Source organism: Homo sapiens, chromosome 4 (assembly GCF_000001405.40).
Source record: "Homo sapiens chromosome 4, GRCh38.p14 Primary Assembly".
Lineage (NCBI taxonomy): Eukaryota > Metazoa > Chordata > Mammalia > Primates > Hominidae > Homo > Homo sapiens.
The window spans coordinates 87,231,498-87,255,270 of NC_000004.12; the positions used below are offsets into that span (position 1 = coordinate 87,231,498).

Genomic DNA, 23,773 nt, shown 5'->3' on the forward strand with positions numbered 1-23,773 from the left:
GTAATGTTCACCCCACCTGTGAACAGTAACGTTCATCCCACCTGTGGCAGGCATGTACAAGGACATGCTTTGCTTGATATAACTTCTATGTCCCACAAATACTTCTTTTTTTTTTTTGAGATGGAGTCTCGCTCTGTCACCCAGGCTGGAGTGCAGTGACGCAATCTCAGCTCACTGCAACCTCTGCCTCCCAGGTTCAAGCGATTCTCCTGCCTCAGCTTCCCGAGCAGCTGGGACTACAGGCGTGAACCACCATGCCCAGCCAATTTTTTTAGTTTTTGGTAGAGACGAGGTTTCGCCATGTTGGCCAGGCTGGTCTCGAACTCCTGACCACAAGTGATCTGCCTGCCTCGGCCTCCCAAAGTGCTGAGATTATAGGCGTGAGCCACCATGCCCGGTTGATTGTCCACTTTTATTGTTCACACTATCTCACAGATTTTCTCCTAATGCTTTATTTCTATAACCATGAATCTAACATAAACATACCACATTCTATTGATGACATCTCCCTTTCAAAGCTAATAATTTCTAATATTCAAAAATAATTATACATTTCCTATACTTACTGGTATATGAGGTTAATTATTCTTTATGAGTGTATAAAAAGGATAATTAAATAGAACTGTGCACTTACCTCTGTGTGCTCCTTTCCAAACACATCTCTCTTTCTCCCATAGTAAACACTATCTGAATGTGATATTTATTTTTCTCATGTATTTCTTTGTAGTTGTACCCTATTTGCATTTAGTTTGCATGTGTTTGAAATTTAAATGGACAGAATCATACTGTATGTATCTTTCTCCAATCTGCTTTTCTTATTCTTATTGTATTTGTGAGATTCATCCCTGTTGATACACATGGCTGTGGTTTCTTCATCTTTCACTGCTACATACTATTTCATCATATGAATATACCATAATTTACTCATCTTGTTGATGGATACTTGGATTACTTCCAAGTTTTTTCAATTACAGACAATGCTGCTATGGACACTCGTGTATATGTATAAGGGTACATAGCAAATACAAGAGTTTCTCCAGAAGTGGAATTGCTGGTTTTACAATATGCATGACTTCGATGTAACTAAAAAATGCCAAATTGTCTTCCAAGATTGTCATATCAATGCACACTTTTAAGGTAGTTTTCTGAGGACTCCAGTGATCGTACATTCTGGCCAAGACTTGGTTTTACCAGACTTCTTAATTTATACCAGTGGTAGACATAAAATAGTATCTTGTGGTTTTAATTTTTCCCTAATCTTGTGATCATAATTTGCACTTATCTAGTTATGAATGAGGTTTTAATATGTTTAATATATTTATTACCAATTCAGATCTCCTTTTTGTAAAATCCATGTTCAATTTGTTGGTCCATTTTTCTATTAGGTTTTTTTTTCCAATTAGTTTTTTTTAGGTGTAATTTTTAAATATTCTGAGTAGTAATCTTCTGTACATTATGTGAGTATTAAATATCTTCTTCCAGTTTGTGACTTGTCTTACTTTTTAGTGATATCTTTTGATAATCTTGCTTTCCAATGGTATCTTTTTATTTTTCTTTTTTGAGATGGAGTCTTGCTTTGTCGCCAAGGCTGGGGTGTAGTGACATGATCTTGGCTCACTGCAACCTTCGCCTCCAGGGTTCAAGCAATTCTCCTTGCCTCAGCCTCCCGAGTAGCTGGGATTACAGGCACAGGCCACCATGCCTGGCTAATTTTTTTGTATTTTTAGTAGAGACAGGGTTTTACCATGTTGCCCAGGCTGATCTCAAACTCCAATGGGAGGTAGCTTTTGATTAGAATGTAATCAAACTGACCGGGTGCGTGGCTCATGCCTATAATCCCAGCACTTTGGGAGGCCGAGGCGGGTGGATCACTTGAGGTCAGGAGTTTGAGACCAGCCTAACCAACATGGTGAAACCCCAACAAAAATTAGCTGGGCGTTGTGGCACGCACCTTTATTCCAGCTACTCGGGAGGCTGAGACACGAGAATGGCTTGAATCCGGGAGGCAGAGGTTGCAGTGCGCTGAGACTGTGCACTGTACTCCAACCTGGGCAACAGAGTGAGACTCTCTCAAAAAATAAAAATAAAAGAATGTAAACAAACTGATCAGACTTCACCTATTTACCTAGTGGGTTGAGTTTCTTTTATATCTTCTTTGAGAAATATTTCCTATTTCTGGGACATAACGATATTTTCTTCTAAAATTTTGAATTTTACATTGTATATTTAAATCTTTGGTCTGCCTAGGTTTTTTATAAAATCAATTTTTATCACGTTACCACTTATGCCTACAAAATCTTGATTGAAGATACTTGATAAATATTTTTCCATTTTCTTTTTTCATTCTTTGATTTTCTATTTTAAACAATATTTTAAAAAATACTAATTTCAGGCTAAATGTATCTTTTAGAAGCACTCGACAATGCATTCTTTGTCATTGTTTAGACATTACATAAACTACCAAAAATGCAAGTGAGCCAACTATTTGTCACAATCAGTGTTCACTTATTGGATGAAGAACTACATTTAGAGTAGAATGAGTTCTGGGTCCATACTGTAGATGTAGAGATACTTTAAAGTACAATCATAAATCACATAAGGATGTTTTGGTCAACAAAGGACTGCATGTATGGGTGGTGTCATAAGATTATAGTGCAGCTGGCTGGGTGTGGTGGCTCACGCCTGTAACCCAAGCACTTTGGGAGGCCAAGGTGGGCGGATCACAAGGTCAAGAGATTGAGACCATCCTGACCAACATGGTAAAACTGCATCTCTACTAAAAAATACAAAAATTAGCTGGGCGTGGTGGTGCACACCTGTAGTCCCAGCTACTCAGGAGGCTGAGGCAGGAGAATTGCTTGAACCTGGGAGGCAGAGGTTGCACTGAGCGGAGGTCGTACCACTGCACTCAGCCTGGCAACAGAGTGAGTCTCTGTCTCAAAAAAAAAAAAAAAGATTATAGTGGAGCTGAAAAATTCCTATCCCTTAGTGACGTCATAGCCATGATAATGTCCTGCACAACGCATTACTCAAGCTCATGTGCATATTGTGATGTTGGTGTAAACAAACCTACTGTGTTGCCAGTGGTATAAAAGTATAGCAGATACAATTATGTATATTCTATAATACTTGATAAGAAATGACTATGTTACTGGTTTATTTACTATACTTTTTATTGCTATTTTAGAGTATACTCCTACTTATTTCAAAAAAAGTTAACCATAAAACAGCCTGGGGCAGGTCCTCCAGGAGGTATTCCAGAAGAAGGTATTGTTATCATAGAGATGACAACTCCATGTGGGTTATTGCCCCGGAAGACTTTCCCAGTGGGGCAAGATGTGGAGATGAAGACAGTGATATTGACGATCCTGACACTGTGTAGTCCTAGGCTAATGTGTGCTTGTGTCTTCGTTTTTAACCAACAGTTTAAAAAGAAAAGAAAAGAATAAAAAAGCTTAAAGAATACAGATACAAAGAAAGAAAATATTTTTGAATGGCTGTACAGTGTGTTCTAAAGTTTATAAAGTTTATAAAGTAAAATAATTACAGTAAGCTAGGGTTGGTTTATTACCAGAGAAAGAATAAATATTTGAATAAATAAATATATTTTATTTATAGTGTAGCCTGACTGTACAGTGTTTGTAAAGTCTACATAGTGTACAGTAATGTCCTAGGCCTTCACATTCACTCACCACTCACTCCCTGACTCACCCAGAGCAACTTCCAGTCCTGCATGCTCCATTGAGGGTAAGTGCCCTATACAAGTATCATTTTTTATCTTTTATACCGTATTTTTAGTGTACCTTTCCTACGTTTAGGTACACAAATACCACCGTATTCTAGTTGCCTACAGTATTCAGTCCAGTAACATGCCATGTGGGTTTGTAGCCTAGGAGCAGTAGGCTAGACCATATAGCCTAGGTGTGTAGTAGGCTATACCATCTAGGCTTGTATAAGCACATTCCCTGATGTTCACAAGACAAAGTGATGCATTTCTCAGAATCTTGTTAAGTAACACATGGCTGTATTTGAGGTGCCAAATGAAGAAAGTATAAAAATATCCCTTTGTCATCATTTGAGATGAATTGAATAAACTACACTTTGGGGGGCAGGGTGGAGAAAAAGCATAATTGTTATCATTTAATCGTCACCTAGCATGATCTCTATAGCTAATCAAGCATTGAAAATTATCCTCTATATTTCATATTTAAATATGACCTGCTGAATTGAATATGGAGAGGTGTGATAAAATGCAGAATATCTCTCAAACCCTATCAGCTCCTAATACAACCCGAGGGGTAAACAGGACCTTTCAATGACTTGGCACCAGAAGGATTAGGCCAAAACACAAGTCTTTGGGATGAGAGCGGAGAGGTTGCGGGCCGCGGGGCGGGTCGGTGGGGAGGAGGGTGCGGGGGAAGGGGGAATCGAAGGCGCCATTGGAAACGTTGTAAAATGCTTGGAGCGCCCTCTGCTGGAATATATTGGTAAAACAGCAGTAGTGACGAAGCGCTCTGCCTCCAAGTTGGTAGAAATAGAAACCAAAAAAAGCGAATGAAATGGCTCTTTCTTAAAGTAAGCCTTGACACGAGGTTCAAACAACAGTAGCCTTTCTTCTAGAGTTTTATGTAAGATTTGTCACTTTTCCTTCTACCTTAAAATATCTGCCTTATACCAGGAAAAAGTATGAATTTGATTTCTTTTTCCTTTTCCTTTTTTTTTTTTTTTTGAGACGGAGTCTCGCTCTGTAGCCCAGGCTGGAGTGCAGTGGGGCGATCTCGGCTCACCGCAACCTCCGCCTCCCAGGTTCAAGTGATTCTCCTGCCTCAGCCTCCTGAGTAGCTGGGACTACAGGGGCGCACCACCATGCCCGGCAAATTTTTGTATTTTTGGTAGAGACGGGATTTCACTATGTTGGCCACACTGGTCTTGAACTCCTGACCTTATGATCTGCCCGCCTCGGCCTTCCAAAGTGCTGAGATTGCAGGCGTGAGCCACTGTGCCGGCCTATGAATTTGATTTCTTAATAGACACCTTAAGGGAGGCAACCTCAAGGAAGGGCATAACATCACTTTAGAACACTAAGGACTGAAAATTTCATTACAGCCCAGACTTTTATTCATTGCGTACCTTTTGAAAAGTCATTTAATTTATCTGTACTGTGTCTTTTTTTTTTTTTTTTTTTTAGATGGAGTCTCACTCTGTCACCCAGGCTGGAGTGCAGTGACACAATCTCAGCTCACTGCAAACTCTACCTCCCGGGTTCAAGCGTTTCTCCTGCCTCAGCCTCCCAAGTAGCTGGGATTACAGGCGTGCACCACCAAGCCCGGCTAATTTTGTATTTTTAGTAGAGACGGGGTTTCTCTATGTTGGTCAGGCTGGTCTCGAACTCCTGACCTCAGGTGAGCCACTCGCTTCGGTCTCCCAAAGTGCTGAGATTACAGGCGCGAGCCACGGCACCTAGTCTGTATTGTGTCTAAAATGAAGATGACAATAACAATCTCAAACACTTTGACAGCGGGAAGTTTCACAACAGATGTGAAACAAAATTCCTAAGTGCCACATGTCCTTCCCATAGCTAAAAATCCCAGAACTGGCCAGCAGCCATGTTCCCAGATGAACACCGTATTGAGTCCCAGTCACTGTGTCAGGCCTGAGAATATGGTTCTCATCCTCCCAGAACTCCCAATCCAACTGTCTGCTGGGGAAGACACTATAATAATGCAAATAACAGCAATAAAACACGGAAAGAAGAATGTATTGGAAGATTATAAGGACACATACTTTTCTAGATAATCAGAGAAGTCTTCAAAGAAAAGCTGTATTTGAGCTGGGTCTTAAATAAATAATGAGATACTTGCCAATACAATGCATATTTTTTTCCTTAAAATTGTTTAACTGTTATCAGTAGAAACTAAAAACAAAACAAAACAAAATGTGTTTTTTCAACATAATAAATAACAGAAAATTAGCCTAGTTCTAGTTTATTTCACTGGAAGTCTTAACAAACAACATACTGATGCAGTCATTGATTAAATAAACAAATCATAGCCAGGCACAGTGGCTCACACCTGTAATTCCAGCACTTTGGGAGGCCAAACAGGCAGATTGCACGAGCCCAGGAGTTAGAGACCAGTTTGGCAACATAGTGAAACTCTGTCTCTACTAAAAATACAAAAATTAGCTGAGTATGGTGGCATGCACCTGTGGTCCCAGCTACTCAGGAGGCTGAGGTGGGAGGATAACTTGAGCCTGGGAGGCAGAGGTTGCAGTGGCACAATCTTGGCTCACTGCACTTCAGTTTGGGTGACAGAGTGAGACCCTGTCCCTAATAATAATAATACAGATTTGACACTGATAATAATAATGAGTTCTGTTTTTGCTACCTTTTCAGAAAAACATATCTAAACATATCTGTGTTCTGTTAATGTGTTTTAGTGTTATATCATTTTTTTTAAGACGGAGTCTTGCTGTGTCGCCCAGGCTGGAGTGCAGTGGCACAATCTCAGCTCACTGCAACCTCCTTCTCCTGAGTTCAAGCAATTCTTTTGCCTCAGCCTCCTGAGTAGCTGGGATGACAGGCGTGCACAACCATGCTGGGCTAATTTTTGTATTTTTAGTAGAGACAGGGTTTCACCATGTTGGCCAGGCTGGTCTCAAACTCGTGATCTCATGATCCACCCACCTCGGCCTCCCAAAGTCCTGGGATTACAGGCGTGAACGTCCACGCTCAGCCTACATCTTATATTCCATGCATTTCTTATATTTCCTGGATTTCTCACCAAGCATATTTGTAGAGAAGAAGAAAAAAGAGAAAATCATTTTTGAAAATATTTGTTATGTATTTTCATAAAGCATTTAAGTCAGCACTGTGTAATAGAACTTTTTGTGATAATGAAAATGTTCTTGGCCAGGCATGGTGGTGGCTCATAACTATAATCCTAGCACTTTGGTAGATCCAAGTTGGAAGATAGCTTGAGCCCAGGAGTTCAAGACCAGCCTAGCAAGACCCTGTCACACACACAAAAAAGTTCTATATCTGTTCTTTTTAATAATGTAGTTATTGGTCACATGTGACTATTGAGCACTTGAAATGGGCCTAGTTTAACACTGAGAAAGAAAATTGTTAATTTTATTTAATACAAATTGTCATATGTGGCTAGTAGCTACCAAAATGGACAGGAGAAAAGTAAAGTTATCATTGGAAAAATAAAAAATGTATTGGACTTATTTGTATTTATTTTAATGAAAGCTTAATATTATTTTGATCTGGAAATACATATGATAGAAGGAATCATGACTTTTCAGTGCTCAAGCATCCATAATTTTTACCCTGGTCCTGTATAAATTGGCTCCATGAGATAATGTAATTTTTCATGCTATCTGCCTATATTTTATCATTAAGTTATTGTGAACTGTAACAATTAGCAGTCAAATTTACCATTCCATTTGGTCTCTCTAGTGACTTTTTTTCCACGTAAATATTGTTTCGAGACACCTATTTTAAATTCAACACATTCTATTATATTTTTTAAAAATGCAGATTCCCCAGAGCTCTGGATTCTTTTGTCTTCAATACAATATATACCTTTTTCGCACTCAGTAAGGTTCTTCTCTAAGTAGTAGTGTTCAATAAATATTTGTGATTAAATATGTGAAATTTAACTTATTTTAAGATAAGTGGAGAGTATAGTAGATAGAAGAGTTCCTTCAAAAGACACTCTAGCGTTTCTTTAAAAGCCTGGAAGATATAGTAGGTGCGCAGTAAATATTTGTTTGCTTGATGAATGAATAAAGTTGTGACTCTTTAAAGACATTCAAGTGGGAAATGGAGCAGGGCTTGGAAAGGAGACCCCAGGGAGAGGCTCCAGTGCGCCTGTTAAGAATCTGACTCCATCTGATGTGTAATACAGACTTGGCAGGAGCAAAGCTCCGTTATTTCCCAGTACCTCTCTCCAAGCTTGGCTGTTTATTGAATCATAAGAATTAAGGAACATGCGCACTTCTAATAAGTGAAAAGTTCAGTAGTTCCTCTCTGCTTGATAATAGATCAGAGAAAAGGTGATGAGGTGGATAAGGCCAAGCTTTACCTCTGGGTACCTTTTTCTCAGTTCCCTTTCACCCTCCTTCAAATAATCCAGAACATATGCAAGAGGCAGCAGGTGTTTCAGCAGTACTAACAATACATCCTCAGAGGATGAATTTATGAGAACCTTGGGCTGAAACTACCTACATGGCTTCTTCAAGGTAAGATTTATTTGAGAAACATGGTTTGTAAAACCTCCTTGCCAGGTTAGTATTATTATTTACAGTAATTCTAAAAATAAAGTAAAAAGAGAAAACCCCATCAGGTCCAGTGCTACTTCTCAATCATCAGCCTCCAGATTCTTCCCTCTTTTTCCCATCCCCTTTTCATAGGAATTTCATCCAAGAACAAACCTTTGAGTTTCTATGATCTTAACCCCCTCATCTGGTAGGCACTGATGGAATTTTAAATGTTTGCTCAAAGTCCTAATAATTTACTATCTGATATTCCACATAAATGAATCATGATGGTTTCTTTTCCCCACAGCACTTTGAGAACACTTCCTCCAGCCAGCTTGGAGAAGGAAAAGATACATGCTGCCCCTAAAAGCAGCACCCAGGGCTTCTGTCTTCTAATACCATAGACAAAAAAGTTTCTGTCTTCTACTTCACAGTCTTATTGCAATGTTAGATTAAGGAATCGTTAGATAATCAAACCAAGGCAACATAGCTCACCTGGGCTTTAGGTTGTAGAGGCATTTACATCAGCTTCTTCTGAAAATGACAGCATCTAAAGAGGAATTACCAGAAAAACACTGGCAGCACTGTCTTCCAAACACCACTTTGTACTTAGAAAGTACTTTTTCCATTTGTTGCTCTTTATAGTCTTCTTTCATTTATTTGTCCAGTTGTTAGGCTCTTCAGTAGCTTCAGTTGTTCCAGTTCACAAGGTCCTCATTACAGCATGAGTTATCTTTTTGTTTACTCTGCTTGCTTCTGTGTTAGGAATAAATGAGCTGAAACAAAATCATCCAGGAAACACATATCCTGGATCACGTGTCCCTGACAACCTTCTGTGTCTCTCCAGGGTGCTCTGAAGCTGAATTGTTTAAAGGGTTATAGGTTCTCTGAGATAATTAAATCAAAGGTGGTTTAATGGTAAAAATTCATATTAATTGTGTTCTCCCATTATTTCCTCTCATAGACTGAAATAGCCCTTAAGCAGGAAGTCTTATGTAAGACTCACAGATAACAATCCATAACTGTTCAAAAAAGAAAAGCATGCCCTTGTTTTTAAATGGCTAATGTTTTCAAAAATTTCTCTTCCAGAAATTTCCCTGAATCCATTAATCAAAATGATAATAGTATACACATATATTCTTTTTTCTATTTTTTTGCTTTCTGATCTATGTCTGAATTAGTATACAAATTTATTTATTATAGCTTTACTTTTTTTTCTCTTTCCTCTGCCAACAGCCAATGTATACAGTAGCAATAAGTTTTTAGATAAATCTGTGTGACTCTTTCCTCAGGTATAGCCCTGTACTTAAGAGACATTCAGTAATTACTGGTCAAAAAAGGAATCATATTACCCACTTCCACATGGTGGAGTGAAGATCTTCTCCATAAAAATCTGCTCCTCCAAAAAAACAGCGAGAAGATTGGCAAAAATGGTCAAAATCAATATTTTCAGAACTCTGGAAATTCATCAAAGGTTTACGACAATCTAAAAAGTATTTATTTTAAAAAATGACTAAATATTGTTAAAACGGTGAGATTTGTGGCATTTTAACTTGCCATAAATCCATTTTTCTCTCCCCAGCTCCCTAGAAGTCTTGAAAATTAACAACCTTGCTATCATGACAGCCATGAAAACCAGCAGTCTAGCAGTCTCTGAAGATGGCCAGAATGGATTTGGAACTCTCAAAAGCCCAAAGCCCAGAGAACTGTCATTATAGGACTTATCTGGCAGCTTTCTGAAAGCCCTATTTGCAAAGGTTGTCTTTATCTGATCTAAGGGTTCACTGACTGTGAACAGCCTTTTCCCTGGGGCAATTGTTGAGAACAACAAGCAAAATTGTTTAATATCACAGCTGCCTAACGTGATGATAAGAGTTGGGGCAAACAAGAAGCTGGCCAAAGAAGCTGAAAGAAAAAGGTAGGAAATGGGATGTCCATAGGGGGTCTTTAAAAAGATCTGACACAACCTGTTGGGTACAATGTTCACTATTCAGGTGATGGGTACACAAAAGCCCAGACTTCACCATTACACAATACATGCATGTAAGAAATCACACACTTTTACTCCCTAAATCTATAAAAATAAAATAAAATAATTTTTAAAAATTTAAAAAGAAGCTCTGATATATTCCAGAAATCTGGAAGGCCAAGTACATATATGGTGCATTATGCATGATGAGTAGGGAAGACCTGAGGAGGCTGTAATTTCCCACCTCTGGCTAACTTGAATCTCTGCACAAGTAGAGAGTGAAAACTACAGGCAGAGTTGTAAACTGCCTGCCAGAGCATTGAAAGCATGTCCCAATACACATTCTCAGAGTCCCCTGGCAAAGGCTAGAGGACTTCAAGACATTGAAAAAAAATTTTTGTTCAATTATGATCTGTTGACTAAGCTAACCAAATATAGACTTTAGTGGCCACACATGACAAACAATACAGATTTTATAGAATTAGTTCAAGAAAGTCACTAAATAAACAAACAGCAACAGAACAACAACAAACAGCAATAATAACAAACCTGTGTGTGTTGGAGGGGACGTCTGATTTCCAGAGGTGCCACATTACTTTGTTGGAAATGTCCAGTTTTCAACCAAAAATTACAAGGCATGTGAAGAAAGAGGAAAGTAGAGTGAATACACAGGATAAAAAGCAATAAATAGAAAATGCCCCTAAAAAAGCCCAGACATTGGATTTCCTGAGCAAAGGCTTTGCATCTGCTATTATAAAAATATTGAAAGAACTAAGGGAAACTGTGTCTAAAGAACTAAAGGAAAGTATGAAAATAATGCCTCACCAAATACAGCATATCAATGAAGAGAGAGAGATTACAAAAACAAGAAGTTCTGAAGTTGAAAATTACAATAACTGATATTTAAAAATTCACTGGAAAAGCTCAGAAGCAGATTGAGAAGGCAGAAAGAAGAATCAGCAAACTTGAAGATAGGTCATTTGAGATTATCCAGTCTGAGGAACAAAGAGACAGAAGAAAGCAAAAAATGAACAAAGCCTCAGAGACCTGCAGGACATCATTAAGTGTTCCAACATATATAAAATGAGAATCCCAGAAGGGTAGGAAAAAGAGAAAGGGGAAGAAAGAATATTGGAAAAAATGATAGTTAAACACCTCAAATTTAACTAAAACAATTAATACATACATTCAAGAAACACAATGTGCTTCTTTATAAAAGCAAAGATAAGCCAGGTGTGGTGGTTCACACCTATAAAACCAGCACTTTGGAAGACTGATGTGGGAGAGGATTGTTTGAAGGCAGGAGTTTGAGACCAGCCTAGGCAACATAGTGAGACTATCTCTGACAAAAAAAAAAAAAAAAAAAAAAAAAAAAAAAACAGAGAGAAAGAATGAAAGAAAGAAAGAGAAAAAGAAAGATTAAACAAATTTTTTGCGATAGGGTCTCACTCTGTAACCCAGGCTGAGTGCAGTGGTTTGATCATGGCTCACTGCAGCCTCAACCTCCCAGGCTCAAGTGATCCTCCCACCTCAGCCTCCTGAGTAGCTGGAACTGCAGGTGTGTGCCACTATGCCCAGCTAATTTTTGAATTTTTGTAGAGATGGGGTCTCAATATGTTGTCCAGGCTGGTCTTGAACTCCTGGGCTCAAGTGATCTTCCCCACTTGGCTTCCCAAAGTGCTGGAATTACAGGTGTGAGCCACTGCACCCAATCTGCAAAAATAAATTTAAGGAGATTCACACTGAAACACATTATAATCAAGCTGCCAAAAGCCAGAGGCATAGATAATCTGAAAGCAACAAAAGAAAATAAAATCTCATCACATATGAGTTTCCTCAATAAGATTAACAGCCAATTTTTCACCTAAACCATGGAAGCCAGAAAGCAGTGGGATGACATTCGAAGTGTTGAAAGAAAAAGACTGTCAACCAAGAATTTCATATCCAACAAAGCTAACCTTTAAAAATGAAGGACAAATTAAGACATTTCCAGATAAACAAAACTGAAAAGAATTCATCACTAGCAATCTTCCCTACAAGAAATGCTAAAGGGAGTCCTTCAGGCTGAAAGTAGAGAATACTAGATAGCAATTCAAACCAACTTGAAGAAGCAACAACATAGGTAAATTTTAAAGACAATACAAATACAGTTTTATTTGTAATTCTTTTTTGCTCTTATCCAGTTTAAAACATTACTACATAAAGCAATAAAACTGTGTTGACAGGCTTATAATGTGTAAAGATGTAAATTCTGTGACAATAATAGCATAAAGGAGAGGAGACGGAATAAAGCTATATAGGAGCAAAGTTTTGTATATAATTGAAATTAGGCTGGGCACGGTGGCTCACGCCTATAATCCCAGCACTTTGGGAGGCCGAGGCAGGTGGATCACGAGGTCAGGAGATCGAGACCATTGTGGCTAACATGGTGAAACCCCGTCTCTACTAAAAATACAAAAAATTAGCCGGGTATGGTGGCGGGCACCTGTAGTCCCAGCTACTTGGGAGGCTGAGGCAGGAGAATGGTGTGAACCCAGGAGGTGGAGCTTGCAGTGAGCCGAGATCGCGCCACTGCACTCCAGCCTGAGTGACAGAGCAAGACTCCATCTCAAAAAAAGAAAAGAAAGAAATTAATTTGGCATTAATCTGAACTCAGTTTTTTATAAATTAAAATGTTAATTATAACCCCAAGGGCAAGAACTAAGAAATCAACTAAAAAAATAGGTAAATGAACAACAAGGAAACTAAACTTGTTCACTTGAAAATATATACTTAATACAAAAGAAGGGAATAATAGAAGAATAGAGGAAGAAAAGAAGACACAAGACATATGGAAAACAAACAGCAAAATGGCAGATATAAATTTTACCTTATAAGTAGTTATACTGTATGTATATAGATTAAGCACTCTCATCAAAAGGTAGAGATTGGCAGAATGAACACAAAAACATTACTCAACTATTTGCTGTATACAAGAAATACACTTTAGAACAAAGACAGAAATAAATTGAAAGTTTAAAAAAATGGAAAAAGATACACCATGGAAACAGTAAGCAAAAGAGAGCTGAAGTGGCACTCCTAATAACAGACAAAATGGACTTTAAGACAAAATTATTACTAGAGGCAAAAAAAAAAAAACCATTTCATAATGACAGAAGAAGACATAGAAGACAGAACAATGATAAACATATGTGCACCTAAAAAGAGAGGATCAAAATACATGAAGCAAAAACTGACAGAACTGTAGGGACAAATAGACAATTCTACAACAGTTGGAGCAGTTGGAGACTTCAGTAATCCACTTTCAATAACGTGTAGAACAATTAGAAGATCAACAATGGAATAGAAGATTTAAACAATACTATACATCAACTGGATCTAACAGACTTTTATAGAACATTCTACCCAACCACAGTAGAATATACATTCTTCTCAGGTATATATGGAACATTCACCAATTCTTTAGGATAGACCATACATTAGCTGATAAATCACATATATTTTAAAATATAAGATCATACAAAATATGTTCTTTGACCACAATGGAATAAAATTTGAACTCATTAACAGAAGGAAAGTTGAGAAATTCATGAAAAAGTAAAAATTAAACAACACAATTTTAAATAACCAATGGGTCAAAGAAAAATCACAAGGAAAATTAGAAAATACTCTGTGATGAGTGAAAATGAATACATACCAAAACTTATGGGATACAGCTAAAGTAGAGCTTAGAGGAAAGTTTATAAGTGGAAATGCCTATATTAGAAAAGAAGAAAGTGCTTAAATCAATAACCTAATTGTACACGTTAAGAAACTAGAGGCTGGGCCTGAGGCAGGTGGATCATGAGGTCAGGAGTTCAAGACCACCTGGCCAAGATGGTGAAACCCCGTCTCTACTAAAAATACAAAAATCAGCTGGGCGTGGTGGCGGGCACCTGTAATCCCAGCTACTCGGGAGGCTGAGGCAGAGAATTGCTTGAACCCGGGAGGTGGAGGCTGCAGTGAGCCAAGATTGTGGCACTCCACTTCAGCCTGGGTGACAGAACAAGACACTGTCTCAAAAAAAAAAAAAAAAGAAAAGAAAAAAGAAACTAGAGGCTGGGCATGGTGGCTCACGCCTGTAATCCCAGCTCTGCAGGAGGCCAAGACAGGTGGATCGTTTGAGCCCAGGAGTTTGAGAACAGCCTGGGCAACACAGCAAAACCCTGTCTCTGCTGAAAATATAGAAAATTAGTCAGGTGTGGTGATGCATGCTTATAGTCCTAGCTACTTGGGAGGCTGAAGTGGGAGGATCGCTTGAGCTGGGGCAGCAGAGGTCGCAGTAAGACAAGATCATGCCACTGCACTCCAGCCTGGGTGACAGAGTGAGACCCTCTCTCAAAAAATAAATAAATAAATAAATAAAATAAAATAGAGAAAGAAGAGAAAATTAAACCTGAAAAAAGCAGAAGGAAGAAATAACAACTGAGTGGAAATACATGAAATAGAGACTATAAAAACAAAAGAGAAAAATAAAAAAAACTAAAGTTTTTTTTTTTTTTTAAAAAGTCAACAAAGATTTAACAAGACTGAACAAGAACAAAAGGTCTAAAACTCATATTACTAAAATCAGAAATGATAGTGGGGACATTATTATCAACCTTACATAAATAAAAATAATTATAAGGAAATGCTGTGAACAATTACATGCCAATTATAGGTCTAGATAACCTACATAAAATAGATAGGTCTGTCCCAACTTCCCAACTCATTCTATGAAGTTAGCATTACTCTGGTGTCAACAAAGACATCACAAGAGAAGAAAACTATGGGCCAATATGTTTTTTGAATGTAGATACAAAAATACTCAGCAAAATATTAGTGAACTGAATCCAGAATCATATGAAAGGAATTATATACCATAATCAAGTGGGCTTTATCTCAGGAATGCAAGGGAAGTTTCACATATGAAACCCAATCAATTTAAAACACCATTAATATAATGAAGGGGTGAAACCTACACAATCATATCAATAGATGCAGAAAAAGCATTGACAAAATTCAACACCTTTAATGATAAAAACACAACAAACTAGGAATAGAGGGAACTTCCTCATCCTGATAAAGCATATCTAGGAAAAAGCAACAGCTAACATACTTAATGGTGATAACTAAACACTTTCTCCTAAGATCAGGAACAAGACAAGGAGTTTTCCTCTTGCCACTTCTATTTAATATTGTACTAGACATCTACCCAGGGAAATTAGGCAAGAAAAATATATTAAAGGCGTCCAGATTGGAAAGGAAAAAGTAAACGTTTCTCTATTTACAGATGACATAATTTTACATATAGATAACCCTAAGAAATCCACAAAAGAACTATTAGAGCTAATAAATGAAATCAACAAGTTTACAGGATACAAAAATGAATATACAACATCAATTGTATTTCTATAAACTACCAATGAAAAACAAAAAATGAAATTAAGAAAACAACTTCATTTACAACAGCATCAAAAGAGCTACAAGATTTATACACTGAAGACTATAAAACATTGTGTAAGTAAATGAAAGAAGACCTAAATTAATGGAAAAACATCTTGTATTCATAGATCAGAGGACTTACTATTGTTAAGATGGCAATACTTCCCAAATTGATCTAGAGATTTCACATATTTCCTGTCACAATCCCAACTGCCTTTTTTTTTTTGCAGAAAATGACAAGCTGGTCCTAAAATTCATGTGGAAATACAAGGCACACAGAACAACCAAAATAATCTTAATACATGAACAAAATTGGAGGACTTGAACTTCACATTTTCAAAACTTACTACAAAGCTATAGTACTCAAGGCAGTGTGGAACTGGTAGAAGGATAAACATACTGCCTATGCACACGCAAAAGAATAAATTTGGAACCCTATCTCACACCATATACAAAACCTAACTCAAAATGAATGAAAGGCCGAATTGTAAAAGTTAAAACTGAGAAGTGAAGCCAGCTGGACCTCCTGGGTGGAGTCGGGACTTGGAGAACTTTTCTTTCTTACAAGAGGATTCTAAAATGCACCAATCAGCACTCTGTAGCTAGGATTGTAAAACGCACCAATCAGCACTCTGTAGCTAGCAAGGGGATTGTAAAATGCACCAATCAGCACTCTGTAAAATGCACCAATCAACGCTCTGTAAAATGCACCAATCAATGCTCTGTAAAATGCACCAATCAGCAGGATCCTAATAGTAGCCTATCACAGGGAGGATTGAAAAAAGGGAACTCTGTTAGGACAAAAACAACATGGGTGGGGACAAATAAGGAAATAAAAGCTGGCCACCCCAGCCAGCAGTAGCAACCTGCTTAGGTTGCCTTCCACGCTGTGGAAGCTTTGTTCTTTTGCTCTTCCCAATAAATCTTGCTGCTGCTCACCCTTTGGGTCCGTGCCTCCTTTAAGAGCTGCAACACTCACCAGGAAGGCCTGCAGCTTCATTCTTGAAGTCAGTGAGACCAGGAACCCAGCTGCAGGAACCAACTCTGGACACAAAACTACTAGAAGGGGCCAGGTGTGGTGGCTCATGCCTGTAATACCAGCACTTTGGGAGGCCAAGGCAGGTGGATCATTTGAGGTCAGGAGTTTGAGAGCAGCCTGGCCAACATGGTGAAACCCAGTCTCTACTAAAAATACAAAAAAATTATCCTGGTATGTTGGCAGATGACTGTAATCCCAGCTACTCGGGAGGCTGAGGCAGGAGAATCTCTTAAACCTAATAGGCGGAGGTTGCAGTGAGCTGAGATTGTGCCACTGCACTCCAGTCTGGGTGATACAGCGAGACTCCCTCTAAAAAAAAAAAAAAAAAAGTCCTAGAAGGAAACCTAGGCATAAATATTTGTGGTCTTGGATTAAGCAATGGTTTCTAGATATGACATCCAAAGCACAAGCAACACAAAACAACATTTAAAAATTCGATTTCCTCAAAATAAAAAAAAAAGTTTGTGCTTCAAAGGACACTGTCAAGAAAGTGAAAAGGCAACTCACAGCATAGGAGAAAATATCTGCACATCATATACTTGATTAAGGACTTATGTCCGGAATGTATAAAGAACACTTACATCCCATAAAACAAAGACAACCCAATTTTTAAATGGGCAAAGGACTTGAATAGACATTTCTCCAAAGAATATATACAAATGGCCAATAAGCACATGAAAAGATGTTTAACAACATTAGTCATTAGCAAAATACAAATCAAAACCACAGTGAGATACCACTTGACACCCACTAGGTTGGCATTGATTAAAAAGACAAATAATAATGATTGTTGACAAAAATGTGGAGAAATTGGAACCCTCATACATTATTGGTGGGAATATAAAATGGTGCAGACGCTTTGGAAAACAGTTCAGCAGTTCCTCAAATAGTTAAAAATAGAGTTACTACATGACCCAGCAATTTCACTCTTGGATATTTATTCAGAAGAATTGAAAACAATGTCCATATAACAACTTGTATATGAAGATTCATGGGAGCATTATTCATAATAGCCCCAAAATGGAAACAATCTAATGTCCATCATCTGATGATTGGATAAATAAATGTGATATCCATGCAATGGAATATTATTATGCCATTAAAAGGAGTAAAATACAGATACATGTTACAACATAAAAGAACCTTGAAAACGTTTTGCTTAGTGAAAGAAGTCAGACACAAAATGCCACATATTTTAAGATTCCATTTATATGTAATGTCTAGAATAGACAAATCCATAGAGACTGAAAGTAGGTTAGTGGTTGCCAAGGGCTGAGGGGAGAGTAGAGTGAGGAGTTACCACCAATGTGTAGGAAATCTTTCAGCAGTGATGCAAATGCTCTGAAATTAGATAGTGGTGATGCTTGCACACAACTTTGTGAGTATACCAAAAATCAAACTAAACTATAAAAAAAAAAAGCCTCACCAACATTTTAAAACTTTGGAGGTAGCTAATAAAAATATCTAATATTTTATGGCACTTATGTGCCAGGCTGTGTTCAAAATCAATCAGATTTTAACCCATTTACACCTCACTACAAGTTTATGACATACTGTAGTTCTACTGAAACTGAGCCAATAGTCCCATAGACTGTTCTCTTGGATAAACAAAGAAATTGGCCTTTCTCGTTTTACAACTTGAAACTTACATTTATTTTATCTAAGTTCCTTTCTCAGGAAAGGACCTTCAGACCTCTCAAAAAAAATAATAAAAATAAAACTATCAAAAAGCTGAAATTCACAGGCCAGGTGTGGTGGCTCATGCCTGTAATCCCAGCACTTTGGGAGGCCGAGGTGGGTGGATCATGAGGTCAGGAAATAGAGACCATCCTGGCTAACACAGTGAAACCCCAACTCTACTAAAAAGAAAAAAAAAAAAAAAACCTTGAAATTCACCATATCACTGCATCAGATGCGAGACCCCTCATTCATCATGATTGCCTTCTCGTCCCTCCCTAGTTTCTGTTTTCTTCCACATTGTTACATTTCTTCCTTGCTGTGTAAATCCCTGGTTTTACTCTATCAGACAGATGGATTTGAGACTGATCTCCCATCTCCTCAGCTGCAGCGTCCTATTAAAGCCTCCTCCCTTCTCAATACTTGTCGTCTCAGTGACTGGCTTTCTGTTCAGCAAGCAGCAAGACCTAGACCAAACCCTGGTGTTTTGGTAATACTATTACTATACCTATTTTTCAGAGGAGGAAACCTGAACTCAGAGAGGTTGAGCAACTTGCATAAGGTTACAAAAGTAAGGGACAGAGTTGGGATTCACATCCAAGTGTTCTGATACAAAAGTCCATCGAACCAATACATTATTTAGTTTGTCACTGTGACTGTGTAGCAAAGGCCAAAAGAATGATAAACGGAAAAAAAAGTATATATATATATATATATATTTTTAATTATTATTATTTTTTAAACAGGTTCTTGCTCTGTCACCCAAGCTAGCGTGCAGTGGCACGATCATGGCTCACTGCAGTCTCAACCTCAGAAACTCAAGCTATCCTCCTACCTCAGCCTCCCAAGTAGCTGGAATCCCAGGCCCACACCACCAAGCCCAGCTAATTTTTTATATTTTTAGTAGAGACAGAGTTTCGCCATATTGGCCAGGCTGGTCTTGAACTCCTGGGCTCAAGCGATCTGCCCACTTCAGCCTCTCAAACTGCTGGAATTACTGGTGTGAGACCCTGCATCCAGACAGCAAATAATTTAAAAGATAATTCATTTTCAAATGAATTATTGTGCCTTCTGGAGGATATTGGAAAATCTTATCTTTAAAAACAGGAGAGTAAAACAATTTATAATTAATTTTCCTGGGTTAAAAAAGGTATTTGCTGGCATTTACATTTCAGCATGCAAATCCCAAAGCTTCCATATTAATTCTTTTTGAAAGGTGGATTTTATTAAATCTCTGCATTTCTATCTGCAGTGCTCAATCACATTAGAAATATTCATTTTATTTTGAAGTAGAAGCTGGACGAAACAGGATGGGGCACTTGGCTCTGATAATTCACCGGGGCTGAGTTCCTTTGAATGCTGCCAACTCAAGCAGACTCAGCGAGAATGGCTGCAAACAGTAGGATTCAGTTCATACTGGCAAGTTTGGCCGGGCTCCACTTTGTCACTGCACAGAGGGGAGCACTTCAGAGCAAGTGAAGACTATTTTCTGCCACGCCAAGATTAATCTGCTATGTGCTCACTCATGTTAAATTTCTAGAATTTTGAAGAGAAGGCTGTTTCTTGTCCCAAAGACGGCTGTTTAGTAGGAAATGTCTAGTTCCAATGTAGTTATTGAATATCTTGAGAATAGGAAAATCTTCATGTAAAGTCATAACTGAGGGACCACATGGTTCAGGGCAGTGACTATGTGCTGGAGACAGCAATAACTCTGCTTGTTTCCACTCTTGCCCACTATAATCCATTTCCATACAGTGGCCGGAATGAGCATAAGGCTAGAAAAAACCTAAAATCATAATATTTCACTTTTCTAATTGCTTTCCATTGCACTTGACACCCAAAGTCCTTACAGTGGGCTATAAAGGCCTACAAAATCTGACCCCTGGCTATATATCTGACCCTGATCTCCTACTTCTAGTTTTTTTAAACAACAAATTGCAAAGAAAGAAAGAGTTGGAGAGAGAGCTATAGGTTTAAAGAAACTTAAGAGATCTTTGTAGATCTCTTTTTCCCGCATGCTATGTGTGGGTCCTGTTGGCTTCTTAATTGAACAAAACAACTATAAAAATATAAAGCAATTAGAGTAACTTGAATATGGATTGTATATTGGTATTAATTATTATTAATTTTTAGGTGTAATAATGGTAAGGTAATTAGCATATTTTAGACAGTCCTTATCTTTTAGAGATTTTTGCCAAAATACTAAAATGCAGATGAAAGAATACGATATTTGGGATTTGCTTCAAAATACTCTAGTGGGTAGAGGAAGAAGTGGGGAGGTATAAATGAAACAGGATTGGCTATGAGAAGATAGTTATTGAAGATGGAAGGTAAGCTTATTATACTATTTATACTGGGAGTTTATTATACTGTTCTCTCTACCTCCCCTTGAGTCTTTGACAGGACTTTGCCGAAATAAGAAATCATTTGGGTAATTGCCTCTGGAAGAACTCACTAAGAGAACAAAGTCAGTTTGCACAATGGGGAAGAATCTTTGAATTTAAGCTTTATTGTTAATCCATTTACACATTGATTTAATTTTTTTTTTTTTTTTTGAGATGGGGTCTCCCTCTGCTATCCAGGCTGGAGTGAAGTGGCACAATCTCGGCTCACTGCAACCTCTGCCTTCTGGGTTCAAGCAATTTTCCTGCCTCAGCCTCCTGAGTAGCTGAGATTACAGGCATGCGTCACCAAGCCCAGCTAATTTTTTTGTATTTTCAGTAGAGATGGGGTTTCACCATGTTGGCCAGGCTGGTCTCAAACTCCTGACCTCAAGTGATCTGCCTGCCTCGACCTCCCTCCCAAAGTGCTGGGATTATAGGAGTGAGCCACCATGCCCGGCCCCACTGGTTTAATTTTTGATTTAGCAATCCTGTTTCCATTCCAGTTGGATATTTTAACATTTCTATAAGCATCTAAAACAACTGCCTTTTTTCTTTTCTTTTCTCTTCTTTTCTTTTTGAGACGGAGTCTTGCTGAAGTGCAGTGGTGCAATCTTGGCTCACTGCAGCCTCCACCTCCTGGGTTCAAGCAATTATCTGCCTCAGCCTCCCAAGTAGCTGGGACTACAGGTGCCCTCCACCATGCCCAGCTAATATTTGTATTTTTAGTAGAGACAGGGTTTCACCATCTTGACTGGGCTGGTCTTGAACTCCTGACCTCATGATCCACCCACCTCGGCCTCCCAAAGTGCTAGGATTACAGGCGTGAGCCATGACGCCCGGCCAACTACTGTCCTTTTTCTATTGAAAGAAGAGGGAAGTAAGGCTATAACTTGTCTTATATTCCCATTTGTATCACCAGTGCTTAGCATGTAATAAATGAACAAAAAGTATTTACTGAATTAATAAATGACCAACTAAAATCCTTATTACCTTCTCCTTTATTCATTTCAAAGATATTTATAAACATCCTACCACATGCTAACAAAGACCTTGTCACATTACCACCTAGGGGAAGTGTTCGAGCCAGAGGGAAATGTATATTTATATTTATTTATTTATTTATTTGAGAAAGAGTCTCTCACTCTGTCACCCACGCTGGAGTGCAGTGGCGCCATTTGGGCTCACTGTAACCTCCACCTCCCGGGTTCAAGTGAGTCCCCCGCCTCAGCCTCCCAAGTAGCTGGGTTTACAGGCTCATGCAACCATGCCTGGCTAAATTTTGCATTTTTAATAGAGATGGGGTTTCACTATGTTCGTTGGCCAGGCTGGTCTTGAACTCCTGACCTCAGGTGATCCACCCACCTCGGCCTCTGAAAGTGCTGGGATTATAGGCGTGAGCCACCACACCCGACCTATTTACTTATTTATAGAGACAGGGTCTTGCTCTGTCACTCAGACTGGAGTGCAGTGGCACAATCACAACTCACTGCAACCTGGGTCTCCTGGACTCAGAGGATCCTCCTGCCTCAGCCTCCCAAGTAGCTGGGACTACAGGTGCATGCCACCATGGCCAGCTAATTTTTTTAAATTTTTTTATAGACAGGGTCTCACTATGTTGCCTAGGCTGATCTCAAACTCCTGAGTTTAAGTGATCCTCCTAACATGGCCTCCCAGAGTGCTGGGATTAAACACGTGACCCACCATGCCTGGCAAAATATACTTTTAAAGGCCCAGTGTGAAGAAACTTGCTGTGTTCAGAAACAAAAAAAGGCATTTGTGGCTGAAATTTAGTGTGAAAGCTGATCAAAAGAATTGTGTAATTCTTGTCATACCCAACTTAATCAGAGTCCAGAGGGAGAAAGCACTCAAGGCACAGACCGACAGTTCTAAAAACTGAATTTTCTGCAAGCCCAGCCTGCTGTAACCCCAAGACCAATTTTACCTAGTAACTGCTGAAGCAACCTGCCTTGACTCTAAGACTGGTTTTACCTACCACTGTTACTCCCCATCCAGGGCTTGCCAGCTCCCAAAAGTTTCTGTAGTGCTAATGAGGTTTCTTTCAAAACAATACATATCATTTCTCTTTCTAATAAAATTCCCAACCTTCTCTTGCTTCTTCCAACGTACCAAAGACAACACCAGCCTGAGTTTATGCCCGGAATGGCAATTCTGTGATTTCCAAATAAAGCATTTAATAGAGAGATCTATCTCTATATTTTATTTGACTTTGACAATGACAGAGTGGGGGAGAAGTTGGAAAGGGGATCAGACATATGTATCCAGGGGCCAGATCCTATTGGGCTTTATAGGCCATTGTAAAGGATTTTGTTTTAAGTGCAGTAGAAAGCCATTAGGAAAGCAAAAATATAATCTTTTTTTCTAGCCTAATTTTCATTCTCTATGTGATGTAGATGGATTGTAGTGGGGGCAAGAGTATATGAGTATATATTTGGATTTGCATGGACAATGTCTCTTCTCAATGGGGCTCACCCTGGATTCCCTGTTTAATATTGCACCCATTCATCTTGCACTGCCAGGCCCTCTTCCCTGTTTTACTTGGTTTTCCAAAGTACGTAGCACCTTCTAGTATACTACATAACTTACATACTTTGTTGCCTTTCTTTCTCCTGGTAGAATATAAACTCTATAAGAACAAGGATCTTTGTCTCTTTTGTTCATGGACTGTCCAAGAATCTAGGAAGGACATTGCCTGACACATAATAGGCATTCAACAAATATCTGTTGAATAACAAATAAATGAGTGGCAGGATTCAAGGTGACAGAATTAAAGGAGGGGCTGTCCCTTTATGCCTCATACATTTTTTAATTACTAAAGTTTTTTAACAGTTATGTTTTATTTTTGTTATTAAAATGATGTATAACAGAATTACAAATTATGCATTTGGTTTTGAAAAGGTGTTCATAAAGATACAGTGTCACTGGTCATTTGAGTTTTGAAAACCCTACTTTTTACTT

General features: G+C 38.5%; 1 protein-coding gene across 3 annotated transcripts in view, besides 4 other annotated features; it reads right to left on the minus strand.

The window, feature by feature from the left end:
• KLHL8 (kelch like family member 8) overlaps positions 1-9,034 on the minus strand; it is an 80,429-nt gene extending 71,395 nt beyond the window's left edge. For all 3 annotated transcript variants that reach the window (XM_047416014.1, XM_047416012.1, XM_047416013.1), the window contains exon 1: positions 8,761-9,034. The gene's annotated coding sequence lies outside the window, so the exon portion shown is untranslated. The remainder of the gene's footprint in view (positions 1-8,760) is intronic.
• Positions 4,216-4,325: an enhancer, noted in NCBI's record as "active region_21705". NCBI's record gives its function as "activates an Ori minimal core promoter by ATAC-STARR-seq in GM12878 lymphoblastoid cells {active_cell/tissue: GM12878}" and the evidence as "EXISTENCE:reporter gene assay evidence [ECO:0000049][PMID:35858748]".
• Positions 4,216-4,594: a biological region, named in NCBI's record as "Sharpr-MPRA regulatory region 2168".
• Positions 4,300-4,594: an enhancer, noted in NCBI's record as "tiled region #2168; K562 Activating DNase unmatched - State 4:PromP". NCBI's record gives its function as "activates a minimal TATA promoter and a strong SV40 promoter by Sharpr-MPRA in K562 cells {active_cell/tissue: K562}" and the evidence as "EXISTENCE:reporter gene assay evidence [ECO:0000049][PMID:27701403]".
• Positions 4,416-4,515: a silencer, noted in NCBI's record as "silent region_15558". NCBI's record gives its function as "represses an Ori minimal core promoter by ATAC-STARR-seq in GM12878 lymphoblastoid cells {active_cell/tissue: GM12878}" and the evidence as "EXISTENCE:reporter gene assay evidence [ECO:0000049][PMID:35858748]".
• Positions 9,035-23,773: the final 14,739 nt, after the last annotated feature.